Source organism: Homo sapiens, chromosome 2, assembly GCF_000001405.40.
Source record: "Homo sapiens chromosome 2, GRCh38.p14 Primary Assembly".
NCBI classification, from domain to species: domain Eukaryota; kingdom Metazoa; phylum Chordata; class Mammalia; order Primates; family Hominidae; genus Homo; species Homo sapiens.
The window spans coordinates 9,950,863-9,976,681 of NC_000002.12; the positions used below are offsets into that span (position 1 = coordinate 9,950,863).

A 25,819-nucleotide genomic window follows, 5' to 3' on the forward strand; every position below is an offset into this window, starting at 1 on the left:
GCCGTCGCGGTGGAGTGGTGCCCGGGGCCGGCCCGGGGCGCGCGACTGCACGGGCAGCGTGGGGCGGCCGCGCGGGGAAGTGGCGCCCGGGAGGCTGCGGGGCACAGACATCGCGGAGCCCCAGGGACTGCCGCCGAGGGGACCGCGGGAGCTGCGAGGGCAAGAAATCCTAAAAGCGCGCGGCCGCGGTGGGCCAGGAGAAGGGACATTCCGGAGACGGCTCTCGGGGGAAGCCACGGGACTCGGGCGTGACAGCCTGCGAGAACCGAGAGGTGAGACGCGCGACCGGGGAGCGCGGCGACCGGCAGAGGCGCCCCCGCCGGGCGAGCGCAGGGGCAGCGCGGGGCGCTGGGGCCGGAACAGCGGGCAATGTGGGCACGGGGCGCGGAGGCCTGAGTGAGCGAAGAAGGAGGCGGCTGTACGGCCGGGGCTCGTCGCGAAGGGGATGGCCGGGGACGGCGGGGACGGCGGGGGCGGCGGGGGCGGTGGCGGGGCGCGAGCGGGGGCGCTCTCGGTGCGCGCGGAGGTTGGCGGGTGCGCGCCGCAGCCGCAGCGCTCCCTCTCCTGTCAGGGCAGGCGCGTACGGCCGCGAGTCGGGCGCGCAGCCCCGGGAGCGCAGTCCCGGGCGCAACCTCGCGGAACGCGCGGCCCCCGCCCCCCGCCCCGCGCCGCTCGTCCCCGTCAGCCCCGCCCCGGCGCTCTTCTCGCCGACCAATCAGGAGGCGCGACCGGCCTCCCAGCCCCGAGGCCTCGCCCCCAGCCGGCGCATCGCCAGCCAATGAGCGGCCGAGCCCGGCGCCCAGTGCGCGCAGCCCGCGCGGAGCCGGCTCAGAGCGAGAAAAGCAAACCCAACCCGTCGGGGCCGCCGCTCCGGACCCGCAGCCGCCGCCGCCGCCTCCTCCCCCCGGATCGGGTGTACTGTCCCAACCCGAAAGTCCAGTTCTGCGGCCCGGCAGCGGCGAGCGGGCGCGATGACACAGGAGTACGACAAGTGAGTGAGGCGCAGGAGTCCGGCCGCCGCGGGGGGGCCGCGCTGAGGGGCCGCACCTGCAGCGAGCGAGCCGGGCGCAGACCCGAGGCCGCGCGGGCGGGCGGGCGCGGGGCGCGAGCCGGGGGCCGCTGTCCACTCCACGCCGCCACGGCCTTTGCCCCTTAGCCCTGCCGTGCTCTTTGTTCGGTCGGAGCCTCGGGAGGAGAGACCCTGTCCTCGGGGAAACTCGACACCGGAGGGGCCACCCTCCTCCCCTCCTCCGCGGCCAGGTTGGGTCCCCTCGGGCGCGCACCTTGGGGTCCGGGCCCCCGGCGCGGTCGGGTGCGGCGCGAGGTCGGGGCGCAGCCAACGCCCCCGGGCCTCCCCGCCCCCCTCTCCTGCCCGGTCGGCCTCGGGAGCCTGGTGGGGCTCGCGCCGCGTCGGGACAGGTGGACTTCTCCAGGTAATCTGTGGTCTCAGGCTCGTCACTCGGCGACCTGCTGGAACCTCCAAAACAGAAATGTAGGGAAAGGTTGAAGTGCCCCGATGTCCGGGCGTTTTCTTTTCCCTGGCTGGCGGCATGAGTGGGAAAACGGCTGTAGGAGTTATTTTGCCACTTGCATCATTGATGGTAATTACAGATTACCGTGTTTTTAGTGCTCGAGAGAATCAAGAGGATGAAACTTTGAAATCCGGGTGTTAAACGAGAAAGTACTGTACAAGCTAATATGCTTTTTAGAGTGTGTGATTTAAAAGCGTATTTCGACAAATGTGAGGTGGTAGTGTAATAAGGCATGGGGGATTAACTGGGCGAGGGAGTTTTCTGTATTTTCTTTGCAGCTTTTCTGAAAATATAAAATTGTCCTAAAAATTTTAAAAACTTACTAAAGAAAAAACAGGGAAATCGCACCAGGCCAGTCAGTATATTTCAGATCAGGAAGTTTAAGGCAGATAGGTACCCCTCCCAGTTTCTTAGTTATTTGTGAAGGATCGGTTTTTGTCAGTGTGTTCTTTTTCTGGATGAGATAGATATTTTGTATGGAGTATCTTAAATGGATTACTCTTATGTTGTAGAATATGCAGTTAAATTATTGCCTGAAACATATTTCAGAAGTCTGAGAGATCGCAGACGCGGAGTTTAAGGCTCACCTGAAAGTGATGATGAGCCTTCGGCGACTGAAGCCTACTTCCTGACTGTCATGAGGAAGTGGACTAAGAAAGGCAACTGGTTTTGTGTTTATTTCTTGACGTATAGTTTAGATAAGGCAAATTTTCCAAAGCTAACATTTTGGCCTTAGGCAGGCTTTGGAAATATGAAACACCTTCAGGGTGATTCCAAACATAAAGCCATTTCTTTCTCTGTTTTCTATTGCTTGTACAAATTTGGGATGTGGGTGGGAGAAGAAGGGAAGTTGAAAACTAGCATTAAGGGAATTGAACAGCCAAGTGCTGTCATAGTCTTCTGGAAGTAGCTATTACGCTATTAATTATAGCTTAGCAGTACATCAGTCAATCAGTCCATGGCACCAGCCGTTCAGTAGCTGTTGTACTCTGGTCCTGATGGCTCAGGGAATGCCACTTTGTATATTTCTTTATTTTCTTTAAAGTTGAGATTTGTGTAAGCAATCTTCTCCATTTTTAGACAAATGATCTGCTGGCTTTGAACAGTCTTTTATGTTTGTTTTGTGTTAAAATAGTATACCACCTCAAGACTTTCTTACCAAATGTAACGTTTATGCCAAAACGTGAGTAAAAACATTGGCTTTCAAATAACACTTCATTTTGACTGAGGATACATTGTTGGATTTTTTTCCCCTTTTTTGAAGATGTTCTCCTTTTTCTAAATCTGTATCTGTTCTTAAAGGCCCTGGGTGACTCCCAAACGCTAACCTTTGTTGATTACTTGAAAAGATAATCAGTCTTTCTACATTCACTTTTAAAATAGGCAGGTCACCTTTAGGCCATTTACATATTTCATTTGTGTGTTGCAATGAGAGCCAGTCCTTCAATTTGCTTGTTAGAATTGTAATAATTCAGAGGAGTTCCAAACATTTAAAATTTATTTTTCTCCTTGAAAATAAACTGCTTTGTTTTGCTAGAGTCAGTGTTCCATTTTTTCTCTTTATTGACTTATTAAATAGTACCAACCGAACAGTTGTTGAGACTGTTTACATTTCAAGTTTTTGGAATTAGTAATGTTTGCTTTAATCTTTTAAATTAAATCTTCTGTAAGGTTTCACTAAGATCGCCATTGATTTTTTTGGATTTTTCCCACCAAACTACAGTGTTAAAATGAAACAGTTCTTGTGCAATGTGGAAAACTAGCAAAGATTTTTTAAAAGCCAGATTTTCCCACCTATTTTTTTTAAAACTTTTTGTTCAGTGGCTTCATTTATTGTTGGATATCCTTAAGTGTTTATCTCTAAGATAAACAGTTAACTCCCATGCCAGAAAATTATGCCTCTTTATTGATTTACAGTCCCCTTTGGCCACATTCCATGCTCAATCTGCTGGTAATCAGTAGAATATTCTGGCTTTCTCATATACCCTGGAGGATTGCGTGAAGGATCCCTTTTTCTTTCTGCTGCTTCTCCCCTCCCCACTGTGTTCAGGTAGGAATTTTTAAGGCATGGCAGCCACAGTAGAAAGAGGGAATAACATGTAGCAGTGTGATGAACGGCACACGCTCTTCTCAAGAGGGGACAGTCCTGATTGTGTGTTGGAAGAGAACAAGTATTCTCTTTTCTTTACTGTGTCCTTGTGTTTGTTTATGGAAAGTATTTGAATAGCCTGGCATTTTCTCGGGGATGGTTTTGTTTCGCTTTTTTGCCAAATAGTATACCCTGGGTTCCACGTGTAGGTGAACTGCCAGTTCTCTGGCTGCCTAGATACTTTATGTCTTACTGTGGGACCCATTGGTCTGCACTTACGTGGTTTGTCTTCTGGTCTTGTCTTAATTTGACTTCCTAGGGTCATTGATGAAACAATAGGCTATTTTATAGGAATGTCAAGGAATTGGTAGCTTATGATACCTTGCAGTAGAAAAGTGTGTGTTTTTGTTTTTTTTTTAATTTCTCTGAAGCAAACGGCCAGTGTTGGTTCTTCAGAATGAAGCACTTTATCCACAGCGGCGGTCCTACACTAGTGAGGATGAGGCCTGGAAATCCTTCCTGGAAAACCCTCTCACTGCAGCGACCAAAGCGATGATGAGCATCAATGGAGATGAAGACAGCGCCGCTGCGCTGGGCCTGCTCTATGACTACTACAAGGTGGGTTTGCCTGCCTTTAAAACCCTTAACAGCAGTCTCCAATGCACTTGATTCAGCAGCATAGAAACAGACATTTGCTGGTAGAATGCCATGCAAGTTGCTTCTGTAGTGACTATAAATAGTTTAATGAGTACTTTGACTTACTGTGATTCGAAGCTAAAAATCTGTGATTGTAGAATCAAAGGGTTGTTTTTAAAACATGCAAAGCGGTCAGCTGCTGTGGCTCTATCCAGAAGGTGAAGCTACCGTAAAAGAAGATGCTAGATGTGCCTTCTTGGGTTTGAGCATCTCACTGAAGGTGGTTCTTAGTGCCATGGAAAGTGGGCAGGGGTCATTTACCTTTTCACCTTTGTTCCTGGGTAGTCAGGATGATTTCCTTTCCCTAAATGATACTACAGAGCCTTTGAAATCATATTCTGTAGTCTAGGACTGTCCAGTTCCAAGATCAGGATATGTTTTGTTGCCTGTTTCTAGAGATTTGGAGTACTCTTAATTAAATATAATCTATACTCTGCATGGAATTTTACATGATTTTCATTATCTGGAAGTGACACTACTGATTTGTCTCATCATCATTGTCCTGATAACACTAGCTGCCACTATTATGCTAGACATGTTACCAGCCTGCGTGCGACTTCTCACTCAGAGGTCACAGCTAGGATGTGTGCATCTGGGGCCCTAGTCTGGTCCATGGCCGAGGCCACTGTCTTTCTAATGCAGCGTGCATACCGCTCTCCTTCTGGATTCACCTCTCCATTCTTCCTTCTGACCAGAAACACACATTTGGGGGTGGCTACGTCTTTAGGGTGCTACTTAAAACAGCAGACTGAGTTGAAGCACAGCTTTGCCACAGGGCCTTTGTCTCATTGTCACTCTGTGTGACTAACCTGTGTAATCATTGTGTTGTCATCAGTACCTGTATAAAAACAGGATCTGTTTGGGATTACCAGAAGCTTCTTAATGACAGTGTCTTCTCATGAATGTAGTGTATATTTTTTACAGTTTATTTTTGCTATCTTTTTGTTTTAAAAACTTTCAAACCTGCATAAAACTTAAAATAAGAGGATAATTAATTCCTGAATACCTTTACCCAGAATCGCCAGTTGCTAGCCATTGGCTACATTCTGGCACTGTATTCTTTCCTTAATACAAGAAATACAGAGGTGAAAGAAGCCTAGGAGATAGTTTTATTATTAAAATTAGGGTGATTAGCCTGAGCAACATGATGAGGCCCTGTCTCTACCAAAAATAAATAAATAAAAAAATACAGAAATTAGCCGGTTAGTACACATGCCTATAGTCTCAGCTACTTAGGAGGCTGAGGTGGGAGGATCACTTAAGCCTGGGAGTTGGAGGCTGCAGTGAGCTGAGATCATGCCATATCACTACACTCCAGCCTGGGTGACAGAGACAGACCCTATCTCAAAAAAAAAAAATGGGGTGATTATTTCCTAGTATGAGGCCATGCGTCTAACTAAGTTGGGGCTGAGGGATTGAGGTAAGCTCTTTTTTCTTTGAATATGAGCAGAAACTTGTGTAATAACTAATGATGCTAGAAGAAACTCTTACCAGGGAAACATAGCCATGAAGAGTTCCTTTGAAGTGGAAATTATTATATATCTGTTCTTATAGCTTGTTTTATTGACTTACTATAAATTAAGTTCCTAAAACATTAATTATGAAGTTACATATTTTTAACTGAAACTTTTGAGAATGGGAGAAACTCGTTGGTACAAGTTTTGTGCCAGAAAGGCCCGTGTGATAACACTAGGTGTACTACTCCTGCGTCTCAGAAGCATGTAAATCCTCATGTCTGTCCATGAAGGGTGACAATTTTAGTGGTACTTACTTGTCAGACTTCTTGTGATAGGTGTAAATTTATTTTCTTCTTCTTCTTCTTCTTTTTTTTTTTTTTAATAGAAGCAGAGTCTCGCTCTTGCCCACGCTGAAGTGTGGTGGTGCAGTCATAGCTCACTGCAACCTCAACCTCCTGGGGTTGACTGATTCTCCTGCCTCAGCTTCCTGAGTAACTAGGATTATAGGTCATGCCTGGCTAATTTTAAAATTTTTTGTAGAGAGGAGTCTCACTATGTTGCCCAGGCTGGTCTCAAATTCCTGGCCTCAGGTAATCTTCCTGCCTTAGCCTCCCAAAGTATTAGGATTACGGACGTGAGCCACTGTGCCTGGCCTATTTTCTTTTTCAAATAAACTGAATTATTTGTTTCAGGTCTTTGGCTGTATAAGCATCAGTCATTATTACATAATAATTTTGATAAAGCTTGAAAAGCATATTGTTAATACATGAAGCAGTATTTTTTTTTTTTTTGATACAGAGTCTCGCTCTGTCGCCCAGGCTGGAGTGCAGTGGCGCAGTCTCAACTTACTGCAGCCTCTGCCTCCTGGGTTCAAGCAATTCTCCTGCCTCAGCCTCCCGAGTAGCTAGGACTGCAGGCGTGTGCCACCATGCCCAGCTAATTTTTTGTGTTTTTAGTAGAGACGGGGTTTTAACATGTTGGCCAGGATGGTCTCGATCTCTTGACCTTGTGATCCACCCGCCTCGGCCTCCCAAAGTGCTGGGATTACAGGCGTGAGCCACCGCGCCTGGCCAGCAGTGTTTTGTCTTTAATGGTGAAAACAAGGATGCAGGAATAGAATTTTCACGCTGAAAGCCATTTTTAAGCACCTTAGCCATTTTGGAGTGCGCAATGGGGTTAAATCTCAGTTGAGTTATTTCTACAGGACACTCACTAACATTTGCCTACTTTTCACTTCCCTTGCAAAGAAAAGAACCAAAAAAGGAATAGAACACTGAGTTAGACTTGTCCTTTGGGTGATGGACGTATGAATCCCAGCGTATCTAAAGACAGTGATCATATGAAGCCCTCATTTGGATCTTAGAAGAAATGAAGGGTTAACATGGCTGTTCCTTCTGCTTTTGCATTTGATCTGAATGGAGGGTGGTAGGAAAGAGCACTGAGAAAGTTGGAAGAGCTCCGTTGTGTTTTCAGTAGCTTCTTCTCTAATGTTGTGTAGATAAACGAGTAAAACCAGGGCAGAGGTATTTCTTTTTTTCTTTTTTTTTTTTTTTTTGAGTCAGGAAGGGTCTTGCTCTATCGCCCAGGCCAGAGTGCAGTGGCGCAATCTCTGCTCACTGTAACCTCTGCCTCCGGGCTGAAGCGATCTTCTCACCGCAGTCTCTCTTGTGTAGCTGAGACTACAGGCACATGCTACCACGCCTGGCTAATTTTAAAATTTTTTTTGTAGAAATGAGTTTCACTGTGTTGCCCAGGCTGGTCTTGAACTCCTGGGCTCAAACAATCCTCCCACCTTGGCCTCCCAAAGTGGCTGGGATTACAGACATGAGCCACCAGCTGTGGCCAGCGGAGGTATTTTTTTTTTAAGAGATGAGACCCAAACTCCATGACAAAATAAATTTATCATGCCCTGAGTTTATTTGGCAACTCAATAACAGTTGCTTTTTACATATCAACCAGATGGGTGACTAGATTTTAAGCTCGTTGAGGGCAGATATTATAATTTGTGTGTCCCCATAGCCTGGTGTTTGCTAGGCAACCAGTAGATAAATGAATGATTGAATTTACTGAAAAATAAAAGGCTGTATCTTTGGGTAAACTGCACTTCACTGGATAAGAGCTAAATTCTTTTCATGTGTGCTAATATCAGGTTCCAAGAGAGAGAAGGTCATCAACAGCAAAGCCAGAGGTGGAGCACCCTGAGCCAGATCACAGCAAAAGGTAACATTCAGTGCCTAACAGCATAAAGAGTGCAGGGGGAAATGCCACGTTTCTGTAACAGCAAAATGGGAGTTTGTTTAAATGAACAACCACTAGTGAAAGAGATAGGTAAGTTGGACTCTTACTATCTAAATTCAGATTTCATCACTGATTTGCCTCTGTTGCTCTGAAATTTCCTTTTTTCTTTGGGCGTAGTAGTTGCCTTTTCTAGGATGAAAGCACTAACATTCTCCTCCTCCAAAGGGATAGTTTTAGTAATAACTTCAGTATTTGCTTATTTGTTTTTGAGGTTTTCTTTAGAAGGATGTGTGGCAGTGGTCTATTAAAAAAATTAAGCACCAGTGACTCTTGAACAACTGCCTGAGTAAAATTGAATAAAGCAAGTTAAATTGTATTCAAATTCCTGTTGAAATTATTTGTGAAATATTTTAGATTAAAACTTTCAGAAAATTTAATTAACGTTTGGCTAGCCATGAAAAACTTTAAAAAGACACCTTTTAAATTGTCTTGTGTTTTATTATCAATCAAGGAATGAAACATATTTAAAGGAAGAATGATCATCACCCAGTATCCCATTATCGTGATGATTGCTTTATTCATTGTTTTGATGTGTATGCAAATTTTATGTAGCGTAGTTGTGTTCACAGATAGGATTTGGTAGTGTACTTTCTTCTACTTAGTTTGTTTCATAAACATTTTCTCTGTATTTTAATCTTCATAATTATCCTTTGGAAGAGGACTTGTGGCTTTTATCTTTTACTTTTCATTATGGGCATTTTCAAACATAATAAAAATAGAAAAACAGTATAAGCCCACATGTATCCATGACCAGCCTCAACAGTTATCAACACAATTCCTCTTGTTTGATTTGTTCTTCCCTCTTCTTCAACTTTGAGATTAATTCATGTTTTTATTTTATTTATTTTTGCTGGAACATTCTGAAGCAAACTGTAAATATCCTTACAATTGCTGCTATATCTAGTTTTCACTATTAAGAAGTCTTAAGGAACAACTTTCTAGACTTTTTCCGTTTTAGGATAAATTCCTGGGAGTGAATTTATGGTTCAGGGTTCAAACAGTTTTATTGATCTTGAAATGTACAGAATTCTCAATTTGCCTGTTTCTTGAAGCTTCAGCCTATATGATTTCTGGGGGCTTTGAAAATTCATTCATTTTACCCACTGGAAATCATCTTGTATTGCTCAAATTATTTATCAAACCAAAATTTAATTTTATAAAAAGCAGATGTGTCTACTGATGCAATGTAACAATAGGTTTTCTTGGGTGAAAGAGAAAGCCAGGCCCGGCACAGTGGCTCATGCCTGTAATCGCAGCGCTTTGGGAGGCTGAGGCAGGTGGATCACCTGAGGTCAGGAGTTCGAGACCAGCCTGGCCAACATGGTAAAACCCAGTCTCTACTAAAAATACAAAAATTAGCCAAGTGTGGTGGCGTGCGCCTGTAATCCCAGCTACTCGGGAGGCTGAGGTGGGAGAATCGCTTGAACCCGGGAGGCGGAGGTTGCAGTGAGCCTAGATCACGCCATTGCACACCAGCCTGGGCCATAAGGGCAAGACTCTGTCTCAAAAAAATAAAAAATTAAAAAAAAAAAAAGGAGAAAGCCAAATGGCATAGGTGGTAGGAAAAGTGGTGACCAAGTAATAATAGCTCATACTTCTTGAAGACTGTGTGTCAGGCATTATTATACACCTTTTAGTGTATCATCTCATCTCAACCTGATGAGAATGGATGCCATTATTGTCCCCATTTTGCAGATGAGGATTCAGTTACTAAGAGATGAAGTAACTTGCTCAGGTGACACAGAACTTGAACCCAGGCAATTTGACCCTGGCGTCTATGCTGTAACCCCAGTTGATCAGATCGCATAGCTTCAGGTTTCTAGTAAAACACAGTAATTGTTTTTAGGATTATGGAAAGTAAAGCTTGTTAGAGGAGAGCTCTGAGCCCTTAGTATTTCGAATGAAATTTTACTTAATAGGTTTGGATTTTATTTGACCGATAACCAGAAAGCCTTTTTCCCTTTATCTAGTAATGGGTAGTTTTGATGTTTTCTGTTTATTCTGTCAAGTGTTATTGCACAGGACCCAACAGCCCAATGCCATTAGGAAAATAAAAATTGTCAAAGAACTACATCAGCATCGCGTTTGAAAGCAGTTTTCTTTTCTTAAAGAAACAGCATACCAATTGTGACAGAGCAGCCCCTCATCTCTGCTGGAGAAAACAGAGTGCAAGTACTGAAAAATGTGCCATTTAACATTGTCCTTCCCCATGGCAACCAGCTGGGCATTGATAAGAGAGGCCATCTGACAGCTCCAGATACGACAGTCACTGTCTCCATAGCAACGATGCCTACCCACTCCATCAAGACAGAAACCCAGCCACATGGCTTCGCTGTGGGAATCCCCCCAGCAGTGTATCATCCTGAGCCCACTGAGCGGGTGGTGGTTTTCGATCGGAATCTCAATACTGACCAGTTCAGCTCTGGTGCTCAAGCCCCAAATGCTCAAAGGCGAACTCCAGACTCGACCTTCTCAGAGACCTTCAAGGAAGGCGTTCAGGAGGTAAGGAAACAAAAACATCTTCCTAAGACGCCTGCGTGTTTGTATAAGTATTGGGTTCCACCTTTTCCTTGTTATGTAAGCATGAAACTCAGCCTGAAATGAATGGATTAGGAATAAAAGATTTTTTTTTTAAGAGAAAAGGCCCATGGGTATAATTTGTAAACTAAACCTATACAACCAGAAGTTATTATCAAGGATGCAAGGCTAATCTTACCAGCAGCTGAGTTAACAATTATGATTTCAGCTAAGGGATTTGCTGGAGAAAGAGAACCCCATACATAATCTTCTGTTGACCACAGGTAGATTCTCCTAGTCTGTTTTCAGCACTTCTCCCAGTGCCAAACAAGCTCCCTGGAGCTCATATAAAATGAGTTATTATATCTTTGCTTGGTGTTTCTTGGTTGGTAATGTAGTCAGGGAGAGCACAAATGCATTGTGTGAGGTTTACAAATTAATTCCAAATAGTTCTGGGGGTTTTATGGTGATGAATACCTCACTCAGCTAAAAGTTAGGGACTAAAGGTGTTAGAAACCATACTTAGTGACTTGGTGGGGTAAAGAGCATCCATCTCTGCGTATGGAGTTAGGGGCAGAATGTTAGCCTTTCCTGAGAAAATGCACCACATCTCTTCAGCTGTGGTGTGAACTTGATGCTGTGTCTTAACTTGGTATAATGATAGGGTGACTTTTAAAAGTCATGAAATTTTGGTTGCAGGTCCTAGTGTTTGAACAGAGTTGGGATGTGTGTGAAAGACAGAAAAGGGGGTCGTGAGTCAGAAGCACTTAGTGGGAGTACCTACACAGCTTGTTGTAATTTACTTGAGTGGCATATAAAAGTGGATATTTTCTCTGTTTTAATTTTTTAAGTATTTGTAGAATCAAAATTTTTACTCAAAAATAAATATGGAAAGGATAGTGGGTTGCTGTAAGCCACATACTTTTATGCGGTACCAGAGCTTGGTCTTTAGTAAGCATGATAACCAGTTAAATAGTTGTGGCTTATCACATTGATATTTCAGGTTTTCTTCCCCTCGGATCTCAGTCTGCGGATGCCTGGCATGAATTCAGAGGACTATGTTTTTGACAGTGTTTCTGGGTAATAGATGTCTTTTAATTTGATTTTTAATTTGCAGCTTTTATAACTTATTCCTTTCTTGTTAACTTGATAAATCAAAGGTGGCTTTAGCAGGCTTTCCCCTTATCTTACTACTTTTACTGTGGTACAGTCTTGGGTAGAGGACATCTGCTTCAGTGCTTTTAATTTTGAACTCTTTGAACTATGTTTCAAGTTTCCTTAATTCTTGGTGTTGGTGCTTTTTCTTTCTTTTGGATTCTTTATGTGATGGTAGTAGAATGGAATCTAATAGGAGAGATGAGGGGATTAAATTAGGTCTCTGAGGTCCTTTCTGTTGCCAAATATATATAATTAGGTGAGAATTTAGGAGTAATATCAAGTGATAAAAGCTTTTTTTTTTTAAAATCAGCCTCACTAATGATAAAATAAATGAAGTCAACTTTTTTCTGAGCTGACAACTTTCTTTTGACCTCACAAAATTGTATCTCACTCTGGGAGTATGAATATTTTCCAAGTTAATTAGGAACTCATATTTTGTTTTATGTGTTTTTTACATGTGTTATATTTTACAGTTTTAAAAGTGTCTAAGATTTTATGGGAATTGAGACTTCCCTTATAGATCTGCCTCAAGATGCAGGAGTCCCAAATGGAAATACCTTTAGGGTTTAGGATAGGGGTCAGCTAACTTTTTCTGTAAAGACTCAGAGAGTAAATATTTCAGGCTTTGTGGGCCATACAACCTCTGTATATTTTTGCAACTACCCCGGTCTGCCATTGTGCAAAAGCAGCCATAGGTAATGTGTAAACAAATGATGTGGCTATGTGCTAATAAAACTTTAGTTACAAAAATAGGTGTAATCTGCTGAGCCGTGGCCTGGGAAGGTTCTTAAACAACTTTAGGGGCATATATGAGTGGTAGTGTTAGGTAATAGGTAATGTCGAGAATTGTGGAGTGCCTGCCTATTAAAGACATTTAAATTACAAGTAGGAACAACAAAAAAATGCTATATAGGCCAAAAGGAATTTAGTCAGAGGAACACCAGCCACCTGTCTGAAACCTCTGCTGGATAAATATCAGATTGGCAGCATGTCTTGTGAGAAGTTCCTTCCAAAGTCCTTTCCACCTATCAGTATCTTTAATATCTCGAGCCCTCAAACTCAGGATGTCCGATTACTGACATCCATCACATCATAGAATTTTTAATCGGCAATTTGTACTTCCACCTCTGAGAGACTTGAGAATTTTTAGCTGCTGAGTACTTTTGTTTCAGATTTTCTTTAAGTGAAAAAGATAGCAAATGCTATTTATAATATGATGTATAGCAAGCTTCCACGAGAGTAGATTTAGAGACCTGTGACTTTTTTTGTCCTTTAGGAACAACTTTGAATATACCCTAGAAGCTTCAAAATCACTTCGACAGAAGCCAGGAGACAGTACCATGACGTACCTGAACAAAGGCCAGTTCTATCCCATCACCTTGAAGGAGGTGAGCAGCAGTGAAGGAATCCATCATCCCATCAGCAAAGTTCGAGTAAGTTCTGCTCTTAGTCCTGTTCTCTAGGAAAGCTAGTCAGAGCCTAACATTTCCAGGTCTGAAGCAGCTCTGAATGACCGCCTGAAATTGCAGCTTTAAGCCTTCACTGTAAAATATAGTACTAAATACGTTTTCCAAAACATACTCACCCTTTAGTGTCTTTATGTTGTAATGCATTCTCTTTCACAGAGTGTGATCATGGTGGTTTTTGCTGAAGACAAAAGCAGAGAAGATCAGTTAAGGCATTGGAAGTACTGGCACTCCCGGCAGCACACCGCTAAACAAAGATGCATTGACATAGGTAAGCAGCTCAAGAGCCCGCTTTTATTCCCAGAGGTGCAGCCATCCAGTTTTCTAAATCCAATTATTTTTGGCAGTGATCAGCTTCCTGCCGAAAGCATTTGAATTTTTATGCCAGCTACTGATCTGTTCCAAACACTGTCCTCGGCCTCCTGGAACCAGTGCTCTCACCATTGCTCCCATGCAGTAATGGGACATGTGCCCACGTGGTGGCTTTCCACAGGACACTAGGGCCAGAAGCCATGTAGCTGGCTAACCTGAGAATGTCCCCACTGTTCAGTCTGCAATTGCTTTAAGGGGTAATATCTTCTTTAAAAGATTCTGATTATTATTTGGAGATGATGGAGGTAGAGAAAAAAACAAGTAAAAGAAAGATATTGCTGCTGTGCAGTTGCCTAACAGTCTTCCCTAGTCACGTGCTAAACCGTGTAACTAACCTCTCTGTGGGCTGTAGTGGCAAACCTGTGCAAATCTGTATTTACTGAAGTAGCGTTACACAGACCTCTGTTCTTGCCATGTATGTAATTTTCATGTAAAACCATTGTCTGTATCACAGATGGCTGTTTAATATTAGTGTTACTTTTTTTCTTTACCTTTTGTAATGCTCTTGTTTCCTTTTCAGGAGAATGAGAACTCAGTTCTAATCTTGGTTCTACAGAGTAGTTTTGTGACCTTGGGACTGTTATTTAAACTTTTTAGACTTAAATTTCCTAATTGTGACATAATGAGATTGAATTAAATATGTCTAAGCTTGCCTCTATTACAAAAACTCTGTGATTCTTTTTCTTCGTATTTTGAACTTCTTCTAATCGAACAAAATGTTAATTTAAATTGTCCAGAGGTGATAATGCTAAAAACTAGATCTTATTTTGAACTGCTGGGATCCCATGTTGAAACTAAGACTCATGAGTTTTCATTTTCTCTTCCACCGCTTCCTGTAGCTGACTATAAAGAAAGCTTCAACACTATCAGTAACATCGAGGAGATTGCGTATAACGCCATTTCCTTCACATGGGACATCAACGATGAAGCAAAGGTGGGTGGTGAGGTCTGGGCGCCTTATGTCCAGCCATTTGAGAAATGGGAGGAGTTTAATGATTTGACAACTGATTTTTTTTTTTTTCACAGTTTTATGTGTTTCATTCTCAGGTGTTATGAAACTATCCTCTTCCCTTTTTATTCTCCCCTCCTCCAAAACAGATCATTTTTGTTGCCATCCTTTGCACAGAGTCCAGTGTGTGAAACATTGAGATTAAGTTGCACTCTGCCACTCCTGCCTGTTCAGCCTTGAGTCTGACTCCTCATTTGCTTTGCCTCATTTCCTCATTTGCACAGTGGAGGTGATATCTGTCTCCTCCCTCTATTGAAGGAGGTGTAAGGAGTAATGAAACAATGCCCATCAAACTGTTGGAGTGGCTTTGAGAAAGGCTCTTAAATATAAGTGATTATTAGTAGTACTCTGTTTCATATCATCACCTTGTAAATATGACTCTGTGTTAAGATTCTTCTGTCTTGGGCTTTTCCCATTGAAGAGTTGCCTCCAGTTCAGTTGGAGTAACTCTAATTGGCTAGAGTTACTCCTTGTGGGCGACTCTAATGGGAATTTTTGTGCCCTTGAAGAAAAATTCAGCATATTCCTAAGTCCTTTCTGCCTTGCCCCTGCCTTCTTCCCTGTGAGTGTGATCCTTCTCCACTCAATTATTAGAGTTCCTGTATTTCTTTCTTTCTTTGGATTACTTTAAAAACTGGGAGCTCAAGAAACTGAATAGAGGCCAGAAGTGGTGGCTCACACTTGTAATCCCAGCACTTTGGGAGGCTGCGGCGGGTGGGTCACTTGAGGCCAGGAGTTTGAGACCAGCCTGGCCAACATGGTGAAACCCTGTCTCTACTAAAAATACAAAAAGTAGCCAGGCGTGGTGGCACACGCTTCTAATCCCAGCTACTCTGGAGGTTGAGGCAGGAGAATCGCTTGAACCCGGGAGACGGGGGTTACAGTGAGCTGAGATCACGCCACTGCACTCCAGCCTAGGCAACAGAGTGAGACCCTGTCCCCCCCAAAAAAAAGAAAAAAAAAACTCAATAGAAACATAGGTGATTTTTCAGACAGTTGTTAACAGAAGACTGATCTTTAGTTTTCCTTACAATATTAGGTATAGCATTCTCTCAGAGACCTGGTAGAAAGAAGTGATGTTCATCTTCTTGTCCTTTCTCAGTCTCTGTTTTTTACTTTTTCTTTTATTTATTCAATAAGAATTTTAGTAACTTTTAGAATAAGACACTGTATTAGGTGCTGACTATTAGGGTTTCATTTTATCCTGCCCCAGAATGCTTTTGAAAATCATGTGACTGGGTCTTGAGAGCCATGTTCTGCTTGTATTATAATTGCTTTTCTTTCTTATCGTTGTCATCATGTCCAAGACAAACATGTGCCTTTCAGGCTGCAGACTCTAGGCAGTTGGGCCCACCAGGCAGTGAGGAAGCTTTAGGTGATTGTGGCTTTAGAAGGGTTTTCCTGCCAACCACCTCAGTCACATACAATTGTCAGGTGGCTGCATAGTCCGGAGTTTGTTGCTTGGCTAAGCAATAAATAGAGAAACTTTCCATTTTATATAATTGTTGTTACAGTTGTTTTGAAATTAAATATCATAATAGGACTCAGTCCACTGGCTACTACGAACAGCCTATGAAAAGTATTGGCCTTGTGCCCCAGGATGCTTTTATTCTTAAAGCAAACTGGAGTGTTACTTGCTGTTTGCCATTGGGGCCTCACTGAGAAATTGTGGAGGAGGCGATAAAGAGCCCATAAGTCCTGAGTTCCCTTTTCCAACTTATCCATGACCTTGGGTTAGTCCCTCAGTTCACTAGCTCAGTCCTTTCCCCTTGATCCCCCAGGAGAGTCACGAGGTTAGAGTGGCCAGCTCTTCTTCGTTGGGTGTGGTCAGGATTAATAAGCGCTTGTCATAGGCTTGGAGATCTTGGCCGAAAGGCCCAGCGCATGGGCAGGGCGCTTTGTTTGTTTGATGTGTCACTCTTTGGGGTGGGAGTAATGAAAGCCAAGATGACGGGTAGGGATAATGGCTTGTTTTATTCTGAAGGCCTGCAGCATATTTGTATTAGAAATATTGTTGGAGGAGTGGCTTAAGTAGCCTTAATAGCATTGCTAATTGATGTAGGTAAACTCAGTTTCATTTCCCCTTTCAGACCCCCAGCACTGACGTGATTTTAAGCCTTTGCCTGCCGCCAGAAGGGTGTTGTGCCATTTCTTAATGAGGCTGCTGTCTTTTTGAAGCTGATATCAGGCAGCAACTTCAAGCATGTGTTCTAATTAAGTATCGAGGTTTTTTGCTTTCCCTGGCCAACTTGATGTTTTCTGTTTTTATTCTTAAAGTAATTAATGCCTCAGGGCAGCAAGAGTGAACAAGTGTACATGCAGAATCCTGTATAGTTGGTTTTTTTTTTTACTGTTTTCTGAAAATATCTACTTTCTTTGCCCACTTTCTTGTTCTCATTTAGGATGCATTTGTTGATTTCTTTTTTTAATTGTAAGATTTATACTTGGCACATAATAATTGTACATATTTATGTGGTATTTGTTAATATGATTTCCAGTTCTTTCTCCCTCACAAACATAAGGGTTTATTGGAGCTATGTGGCATTTCCTCCCCTCCCCTTTTAGTGATCTCTAATGTACCCTTTTGGCCATGCCAGGATGAGTAAAACTGAAAATCTGTCAACATCTGAATCTTACCTGTAGCTTCTGCTTCTCCGTTTGGAAATGATGATAGTTTGAGGATGTTTTGGGTTGAATTGTGAATGCTTTGGCTTACATTCCACTTTGGGAAAAACACTGACGAAGCTAGGACCTATCTTACACTGGCCCTGTGTGCACTCCATTCATCACCATAAACATATGTCTGCCATTGTCATGGAAACTTTCGGAAGTTTTGGAACTTGTGAAAATTTGTTCGTTTTCAAAGTGGTGGAAGAGAAGGAAGTTGCTTTTTGAAAAGCAGAAATGTCTCAGAAACAGGCCCTTAGTGGGATTTGTCTGCTGTGTAGACGTATTTCATTCCTTTTATTGTCCTTCCACAAAATTAGATTTGTTTGGGTAGTTAAGAGTCAGAGGTCTCTGGACAGGTTAAAGGCCATGAGGCGTTCACATTTCATTGTGAAATAATCAGTATTCTTCCTGATGCACAGCTGAGATTAGCTGCTTGAGGTAATTTTTGCAGAGAGAAGAAGCAATTGCCTTTGAAGCATTAAAAGATGGAGCTTTGGTAAGATGCTGAAGTTTAGGATTTGCAGGACAAGATGAGGGCACTGGTCTCCTGCAGAAGAGAGGCCTAGGAGCTGAGGGGAGGGGTGCATACAGCGAGATGGGAGAAAGATACACATAGACTCAGCTGGATCAACATTTTCTCTGGAGCCAGCGATGCAGCTTTGCAGGAATTCAGAACTGAGCCCAGCACATATCCGAGAGCCTGCTGTGGACAAGGCGTGGGCTGGATCTAGGCTCCTGCCACTAGTTCCGCAGGCCAGGTAGATAGTGGCATAAGTGTCCCCATTTGTGGGGACAGCCTGAGATCTTAAATATGACATCATGTTTTCTTAGGAAAAATGTTTTTATCCCACTTTAAAAATGAACTTTGGGAACGCAATTTATAAATTGGGGCTATTTGTTCTGCAACAATTTCAGTATTTCCAAAACAAGCGAGTTTAGAATAGGCTGAACTGAATGGACTGCGCATCTTGGCCTAGAGTGTAATTTCTTGCCTGAGTTGTAAATCTTAAGAGTCTACAACAGCATTGAGATTTGCTGAGTGATAAGAAGCAAGGGCCTCTCGAAGCCTGAAGATCTAAAATAAACAGAGGAAAAAGAAGTTAGGGAGAGAGAATTAACTTCTTTGAATGCCTGTTATATGCTAGGTGCTGTGCTAAGGTGCCTCACCTATGTCCATAGTTAGTGGGGCATGGCTGCCTGCCCAGCACCCATAAAAAGCACCCAGTACTCCATGCTATTACGTGCTTGGTGCTTGGACATCCAAATGAGGCCTTCTGAGGAAGCTAAACTCTAGACCTTGAAATGGATAGAAAACATTCTTGACAGGGAAGATTACTTAAAAATGTAGGTATTACTATTAATAGAGCAACATTATGGACTCACTAATATAAATAAGAACACCTTTGCTAGTAAGAAATAATTTATGTTGGATTATATTATAACGTTTGAGTTGGATGAGTAACATTTAAGCACAGAGGAGAAATTATAAACTAAAAAGCTGCTGTATTGGAATCCAGTGAAAACCAGCCAGCTCTGAGGGAGGCCTGTGAGCCAGTAGGCACTAAAGGAGGGGATGTCTGGGGGTGGTGTAGGGACACCTTTGAGAGAGTCAGCTACCCAGTATGGCAGATGGGAAAACAGCTGCGGTCAAAGGAAATTGCAGGATTTCTCTGATCATCTGTGCATAGGTATGACCTTCATGAATAGTTAGCACACTTTTTTTTTTTTTTTTTTGAGATGGAGTCTCACTCTTTCGCCCAGGCTGGACTGCAGTGGCGCTATCTTGACTCACTGCAAGCTCCGCCTCCCAGGTTCACGCCATTCTCCTGTCTCAGCCTCCCGAGTAGCTGGGACTACAGGCGTCCGCCACCATGCCCGGCTAATTTTTTTGTATTTTTAGTAGAGACGGGGTTTCACCGTGTTAGCCAGGATGGTCTCGATCTCCTGACCTCGTGATCCACCTGCCTCGGCCTCCCAAAGTGCTGGGATTACAGGCATGAGCCACCGTGCCCAGCCAGTAAGCACACTTTTAAAGGATGTAATGAATCCTGGGAATATAAAATAAGAGGTTTTTCCAGTGGTAACATCTAAATCCTTACACTGTAAGGTGAATTATGTTGTAGCTTTCATTCACACATTTAATTTTAAAAATAGTTAACAGCAAGAACTTTCTGCCAGACACGTGCCAAGCTCCTGCTGGAGTAAGTGGCGTCAGAGAAGTAGATAGATGTAGAGTCTGACTTGGTTTTACTGTGTTGTGCATTCCACGCTAAAACACCCTGGAGATTTGGGCATTTCTCCTGAAGAACTGTTTTTGGAACTTGGTTGCTTTGGAAAGTCTTTATCAAACCTTCGGAAGGAAGCTCTTTGTCCCAGTTTGTGAGCAGGTTGCTCGCAGAGAGATGGAACTTCGTCTTTTTCTTGATGGCGTGATCTTATCTCTGGGTGTGCCAGAGCCAATTTCAACATACTTTTGTCTCTTCCCAGTTCAGTCCCCGTCCATTTTTTCCCTTCAGTGTGCTGTCTCAGCCTGTGGAGAAGGGGAAGGGGCAGTCAGAGACAGGACAAAATCAGAGCGCCTTGTTCCCTGGGGGAAGAAAACCCTGTCAGAACAGAGGACGCTGTGCTTTTCATTATAATCTATCAGCTATAAGAAGGAACTCCGAGGCCTTTGGAAGGATTGTCCTTTAGAGCCAAATGGTTTATGTCATGGAAAGGCTCATGTTACAAAGGAAAGAGGATTAAAGTAGAATTTGGAGCCCAGCTAAGTACCAAGAAGCTTTTCCATGAGGGAGCCTGTGTTTGGATGGGAAACCGGTATCTCTCTGTTTTGTCTCCTTGTCTCAGCAAAAGCTGATGGAGTTCTTGGTGAGGGATTATTGAGGCTTGTAGAGTCCATTCTGTAAAAGAGGGGTGTAACCATCCTGGTAACCTGAATGTAAGTCTTTCTGCTTGTGGGATGCAGGTTTATGAGTTTAATAAGTTTGTTGTTTTGTCTAAGCATAATATTTGGAATTCATTATGAGAATAATTTTCAGTTTGTTTGGACTGAACATATTGCTTGCATTTATCAGAATTCCATTCTAGTGAAGCACCCGTCAAGTCTGCCATTAAAATAAGGTGTTGCCACGTGTGGTTCCATTAGGCAGGGACAGGTTTGGTTTGTTTCACAACTTTAAATTTCCAGTGTGATGGGAGGAAGGAGCGGGGAGAGAAGTGAGTCAAACATCCTACTTGCGATTGCAAATGTAGGCAGGAGATTTAAAACTAAAGGGCATACTCCCTGGCCTAAATAGAAAAAGATGTCAGGAAGCACTGTTACTTTTAAAATGAAGGAGAAGAGGCTTTTAGTGTCTCGGCAGATTACGAAGCTAACTAGACTGAGATGGATTATTCATGCATTTCTATCCTTAAGACCCCAAGGAAAACTCAAGGTATAGCTGTGGAGGCATCTGAATTGAGATTCGTTTGATCCCAGGGATTTTTTCTTATGCAGTTTAGCAATACATAGCTATTAAAATAAACAATGAAATGTTTTTGTACCAGAATCGAGATAGTCACATTCCTTTATAGGGAATGAATAGTCTTTAGAGTTGTAGCTTGACCGGTATTGGAAATAACAAGAAAACTTCCTTGATTGGAAATTTGTAGAGAATGCCTTTAATTAGCTGATACAGAATAAAGTCTTTATTTAGCAATTGGACATTTTGCTTTGACGAAGCTGCTGTTCTGGGGGTGATTGTGAGGATGATTTCTCCTAGAAACTTCTAATTTTTTTTTAAAGCTAAGTCTGTTGGACTTTGGCTTGAAAACATGTTCCATGCAGATGTAAAATAAGTACATCGAACCATGGCAGAACTTGGAATCCACAGGTAACAGAAGCGTACATTTGTCATCGCGCAGGCCGGAGGGTAAGGGCCAAGTGGAAGCTGTCTCTGGACCAGGGAGGGACTTGGCAGCTGAAGAAAGCTTTAGTTTGGTAGTGAAACTTGCGTTTTGTGAAACAGGTTTCAAGCACCCATGTCTATGTAGCCTGCATCTGGGCTGTCACTTGAATTCCTTTTTCTTTTTTTTTTTTTTTGGTCAAATTTTTCCCCTTCCTCCACCCTGTCACTGTCAAGAAACAATTGACTCCTCTATAGAACTTTCTTTTTTGACAGCTTGTCACCTTAACCCTCCTTCTCCTAGGTCCTTCCTGGAAATTCTGTCGGTGGTAGCTTTCTCAAACTGTCTTTTCGACCAGTTTTGCTACTCGGAAACTAAAGCAGAGAGCTGGACTGTGACCTGCCATTATTAGTAGTAACTGAACTTACCCAGCATAGCAATTTCAAGGCGGCATGGGGGCTTGGAGTTCAGATTTCTTTTATGTGGAGCTCTTCTGCCCACAAGACCCTCAATCCTTTAGTAAATACAGGGCACTCCCTACATTAACTTAGGGATTTTGCTTTTAGCTTTTCCTTGTAAATGAAAGAGAACTTCTGATTGGAAGGCAGCCTGCCCGCCAGATCTTCCTTTCTGGCCCATGGGCCTGCCTGCCGTGTTCCGTGCCTGGTGAGGATGGAATGTGGCCTGTGTGCCTTGTGTCACACCTGCATCCAGTTCTGCATATTTCAGAGCAAACATTGTACTTGTTTGGAACAACAGGTGCCAAATCACTGTATATGCCAAGTGTCCTTAGGTTCACCAGCTCCTGCTTACAGGACCGTGACACAGGGGAGAACCGTGTGCAGGTACCTCCAGAGTGGTTTTTTTTTCTGTCTGTCTTTTTATCTCTGTGACTTTTTCCCTGGCTCCCTGCACTCCACAGAAACCAAGCCCACATGTGGGCGGTGTGGGAAGGTGGTGCTGAGGCAACAGCCAGGCTGCTGACTCGTCTTTGTTTTTCTTCAGGGAAACGCCCCACATAGATGTGGGAAGATTTCAAGTTAGTGCCTCTCTATTCCCACATCTCTGTCCTCCCTGCCCGCCTCCTGCCAATTCTTTTTCTTTTCCCTTGATGGTGATTGGATAGCCTGAGAAATAACACAAATGCTGGCTGCCGCTGAAAGTCTTTTATTTCTTGGGGGGTAGCATTCTGCCCTGGGAGAGGCTGGTCTCCTCCCACCATCAGAGCAGGCGTGTTGGGGTTCTCTCAGTGGGAATGGGTTCTGCTTCTGAGTCTGTGACTCAGTCCCCAGTACCTTCTTGGGCCTCACGAATTAATGGAGCCCGCACACATGGAGGACTAGCAGGGGACCACAAAGCCCAGAGAGAAGGAAGGTCATCAGTGTTTGTTTGTTTATTTTGGGTTGGGGAAGGAATGCTATGATGATTAAGTGTCTGCTGTATCATTACTTAGTAAAATGTTCCTGGCTAATTCAACTTTGATTTGTTAGTTTAAACTATTTCCCACTCTACTGACTTCAGTTGAATTCTATAACTGTATATAAATGTCTTAGAAAATGGTGATTTCATTCTCTTTAGTGCTGTTGGATTCGGAGTTAGAATAAACTACATTATGGACCTCACATTTTAATTTTGATTGTTAGATTTCTATGAACTGTCTTAGAGCAATCTTTTTGACTGATTTAGAGAATTAAATTAGAAATTTCCCTAGGGTTTCTACATTCAATTTAGTAGATAGGTTACTTTCTGAAATGATATGTCGGAATTTGACTAAGTTGAATTTAAATAAATACTAAGATGGGTTAAAATGATAAAGACTCCCAGAGGCAACTGGGCCTGTGTCCACGACCGCTGCTACTGTCTCATGGAGCCACATCACCAGCTGGACTCATGACTTATGTGAAGTCAAACAGGAAGTTTGGAACAGCCTAGCTATTTGGTTCGAAATGTAGAGACCTTTAATTTCATGCCTCATGACCAAAAAACAACCTGCTCAGAACCGTTTGGGGTTCGCCCTTTTCTCTAAGTTCATCTACTTCACCAAACAATTTTTCCACAAGGTGCTTCTCTGGCTCTCTATCCGTCACTGTGGCAGTGTGGTTTTGAGAAAAGAGCCTTGAGGTTGGAGTCAGGAGACTTGGGTCCTGGCCTTGGCTTTGTCACCTGTTTAACTGTGTGTCTTTTGCCATCTATATCTTCAAAGCCTGAGGCTCAATCACAGCTTGACACTGTCTCTTGAGTTCAAAGATATTGAAAGCCAGAGACTACGTGCTTTGTGATATTCTCGTGAAAGGTGAATGTTTTTAGGGTAGGCAGTGAGGATAAGTGCATTTTGGGAATGTAAAACTTTTTTCGGTGACCAACTTTCTGAAGCATCTTCCACAGTTAAATCCACCTACATTACTTTTTTCTTTTCTTCCTTCTAGCAGATATTTTCTTGATATATTTACCAGGCAGTTGGAACTCACTTGAAGCTTTTGAGTTGGGCGTGATAATACACACATGACAGCAGGCGATACTGATGTGGGCCAGCAGGCACTCAGCTCTACGGGCTGGTGCTTCCAGAAGCCTGCTGTGGATCACCCTCTGATTCACAAAAGCAAAACACTTCCTCAAAGTTTTTATTTTCTCTGTCTCATTATTGACCAATTTGACTGTTTTCTAACATCCAGGAAATTCTATGCAAGGTGATCACTCTGTTGCTACCCTGTGGAAGAACTGGCTTAGGAAGTCATGTTGCAGGGAGTCAGCTTCCCGAACTATACATTCATTCATTGAGCGAATTGTTCGTTGCACTTCTCTATGTAAGCACTGCAGAGGAATAAGAAAATGACTGAAGCATAAAGCCTGACCTCAGAGGAGATTACACTGTGTATTCTGGTCCATATTGTAAGTGAGGGTAAAAACATGCTCTTAAGATTTCCAGGGAAGTGGACTTTCAGCTGAGGGAATCCCCAAAGTCTTTGCTGGAGCTGCAGAATATTTTTGCAAAAGATGTTTGATTGGGTCGTATTTCTTTTTCCTTATCTTTCCCCTCATAGAGTCGCTGTTGTGAATGTAAGTGGAAAAGGGGCAGCTGGAACAGCTTAGTCCGAGGAGGTGCTTTCACCTTCTAAGGCCTGTGTAGTACAGAAGCAACAGCTGCAGACTTGTCTTCTGCAGCCCTAAGTCACAGAGGAGTCTGAAGTCACAGACATTACCACATCTGTAAATGCACCATTGAAGGGATAAACCTGTATTTGTCAAATAAAAATTGTTAGGTACCTGCAGCTTCTGTAACAGAAAGATAGTCACTGGAGATAGCAATTGAAAACTAAAAGTGAATACACACAATAGAAAACCAGGTCATAGCCTGTGAGGTGGGTTTATCTCTACCCTGGCACTTACCTTGTATATCTCAGTGTATCTCAGGCAGTCTCTAAATACCATAATCTTTTCTGAAATGATTCAGGGGATATAAATAGTCAACTTAAGTATTCAGCAAATATTTACTGTTCAGTATGTGTAAAATACTGCTTGGCATTTTGGATTCTACCCAGATGACCTAGGAGTTCAAGTCAGCTTAAAAGAAAGATATAAACACAGGCCGGGCGCGGTGGCTCTTGCCGGTAATCCCAGCGCTTTGGGAGGCCGAGACGGGTGTATCACCTGAGATCAGGAGTTCGAGACCAGCCTGACCAACGTGGTGAAACTCCGTCTCTAGTAAATACAAAAAAAAAAAAAAATTATCTGAGTGTGGTGATGCGTGCCTGTAATCTCAGCTACTTGGGAGACTGAGGCAGGAAAATCGCTTGAACCCAGGAGTTGGAGGTTGCAGTGAGCCGAGATTGCACCATTGCATTCCAGCCTGGGCAACAAGAAAAAAAACTCTGTCTCAAAAAACAAAAAAACAAAAAATAATAAACACAAATAACTTGTGGATTTGGACAAGTTACCTAACCTCTAAGTCTTGGTTTCCTCATCTGTAAAATGGGTCCAAAATAGTACCAATTTCATAGGTGTTTTTGAGGGTCAAAGAATGGTATAAAAGTAGCACAAATACCACAGCAGCATGTAGTTTTATTTGGCTGGAGTTCAGGAAAGTGAGTCATTCGTCCAGGAAACGTGTATTTCTTATTGGCCAGGCACTGCCAAGATGCTCTTGGAATGGAAAGATGAGTAATCCATGACCCAAAACTCAGAACTCAGTGGGAGGATTGCACTCTAGTAAGCGTAGGGTTGCAGGTGACACGAAGGAAGGGAACCTCACTTGGAATAGGAAGATTCGTCACACTTCTCAAGTGACCCTCGGCGGGGGTGGTGGTGGGGGTTCCTAAAGGATAGTGGGAACCAGGCTGGCATGCAGAACCCAGAATGAGCTGTGACCTTTGATGTCTTCTGAGCCAGGAGTGGTGGGGACTGCAGAGGAAGGCCCTGGGGTGCCCTCGCAAGGAGCTTGTCTCCAATCCATGGGGTCTGTGGACCAAGGGTCTTGGGGTTGGAGGTTCGTTGAGGCTGTGTAATGTTGTGACCCCAAGGGTCTTGGGGTTGGAGGTTCTTTGAGGCTGTGTAATGTGTTTTCAAGTCAGTGATGAGACTTTTTAGTCAGAAGCGTATCCTGCATGCCACCAGAGTCAAATGCTGCCAGGAGACGTCAGTGCCAGGGTGTGCGCTTAGGTTTGGGGTTGAGG

General features: G+C 43.3%; 1 protein-coding gene across 8 annotated transcripts in view, besides 5 other annotated features; it reads left to right on the forward strand.

Moving 5' to 3' along the window:
- Positions 62 to 141: a silencer, noted in NCBI's record as "silent region_11145". NCBI's record gives its function as "represses an Ori minimal core promoter by ATAC-STARR-seq in GM12878 lymphoblastoid cells {active_cell/tissue: GM12878}" and the evidence as "EXISTENCE:reporter gene assay evidence [ECO:0000049][PMID:35858748]".
- Positions 292 to 341: a silencer, noted in NCBI's record as "silent region_11146". NCBI's record gives its function as "represses an Ori minimal core promoter by ATAC-STARR-seq in GM12878 lymphoblastoid cells {active_cell/tissue: GM12878}" and the evidence as "EXISTENCE:reporter gene assay evidence [ECO:0000049][PMID:35858748]".
- Positions 442 to 491: a silencer, noted in NCBI's record as "silent region_11147". NCBI's record gives its function as "represses an Ori minimal core promoter by ATAC-STARR-seq in GM12878 lymphoblastoid cells {active_cell/tissue: GM12878}" and the evidence as "EXISTENCE:reporter gene assay evidence [ECO:0000049][PMID:35858748]".
- Positions 582 to 1,121: a silencer, noted in NCBI's record as "silent region_11148". NCBI's record gives its function as "represses an Ori minimal core promoter by ATAC-STARR-seq in GM12878 lymphoblastoid cells {active_cell/tissue: GM12878}" and the evidence as "EXISTENCE:reporter gene assay evidence [ECO:0000049][PMID:35858748]".
- GRHL1 (grainyhead like transcription factor 1) overlaps positions 831 to 25,819 on the forward strand; it is a 50,585-nt gene continuing 25,596 nt past the window's right edge. For 3 of the 8 annotated variants that reach the window (XR_001738726.3, XM_006711882.4, NM_198182.3), the window contains exons 1-8: positions 831 to 991; positions 4,053 to 4,239; positions 7,924 to 7,994; positions 10,184 to 10,574; positions 11,593 to 11,669; positions 13,024 to 13,180; positions 13,373 to 13,484; positions 14,425 to 14,519. Coding sequence is in view for 7 of the 8 variants with exons in the window: in XM_006711882.4 (XP_006711945.1) it covers positions 972 to 991; positions 4,053 to 4,239; positions 7,924 to 7,994; positions 10,184 to 10,574; positions 11,593 to 11,669; positions 13,024 to 13,180; positions 13,373 to 13,484; positions 14,425 to 14,519 (1,110 nt within the window). In the remaining variant the exon portion in view is untranslated. The other 5 variants (XM_047444017.1, XM_011510343.3, XM_017003900.2 and 2 more) reach the window with 5 other exon arrangements.
- Positions 14,783 to 14,882: a silencer, noted in NCBI's record as "silent region_11149". NCBI's record gives its function as "represses an Ori minimal core promoter by ATAC-STARR-seq in GM12878 lymphoblastoid cells {active_cell/tissue: GM12878}" and the evidence as "EXISTENCE:reporter gene assay evidence [ECO:0000049][PMID:35858748]".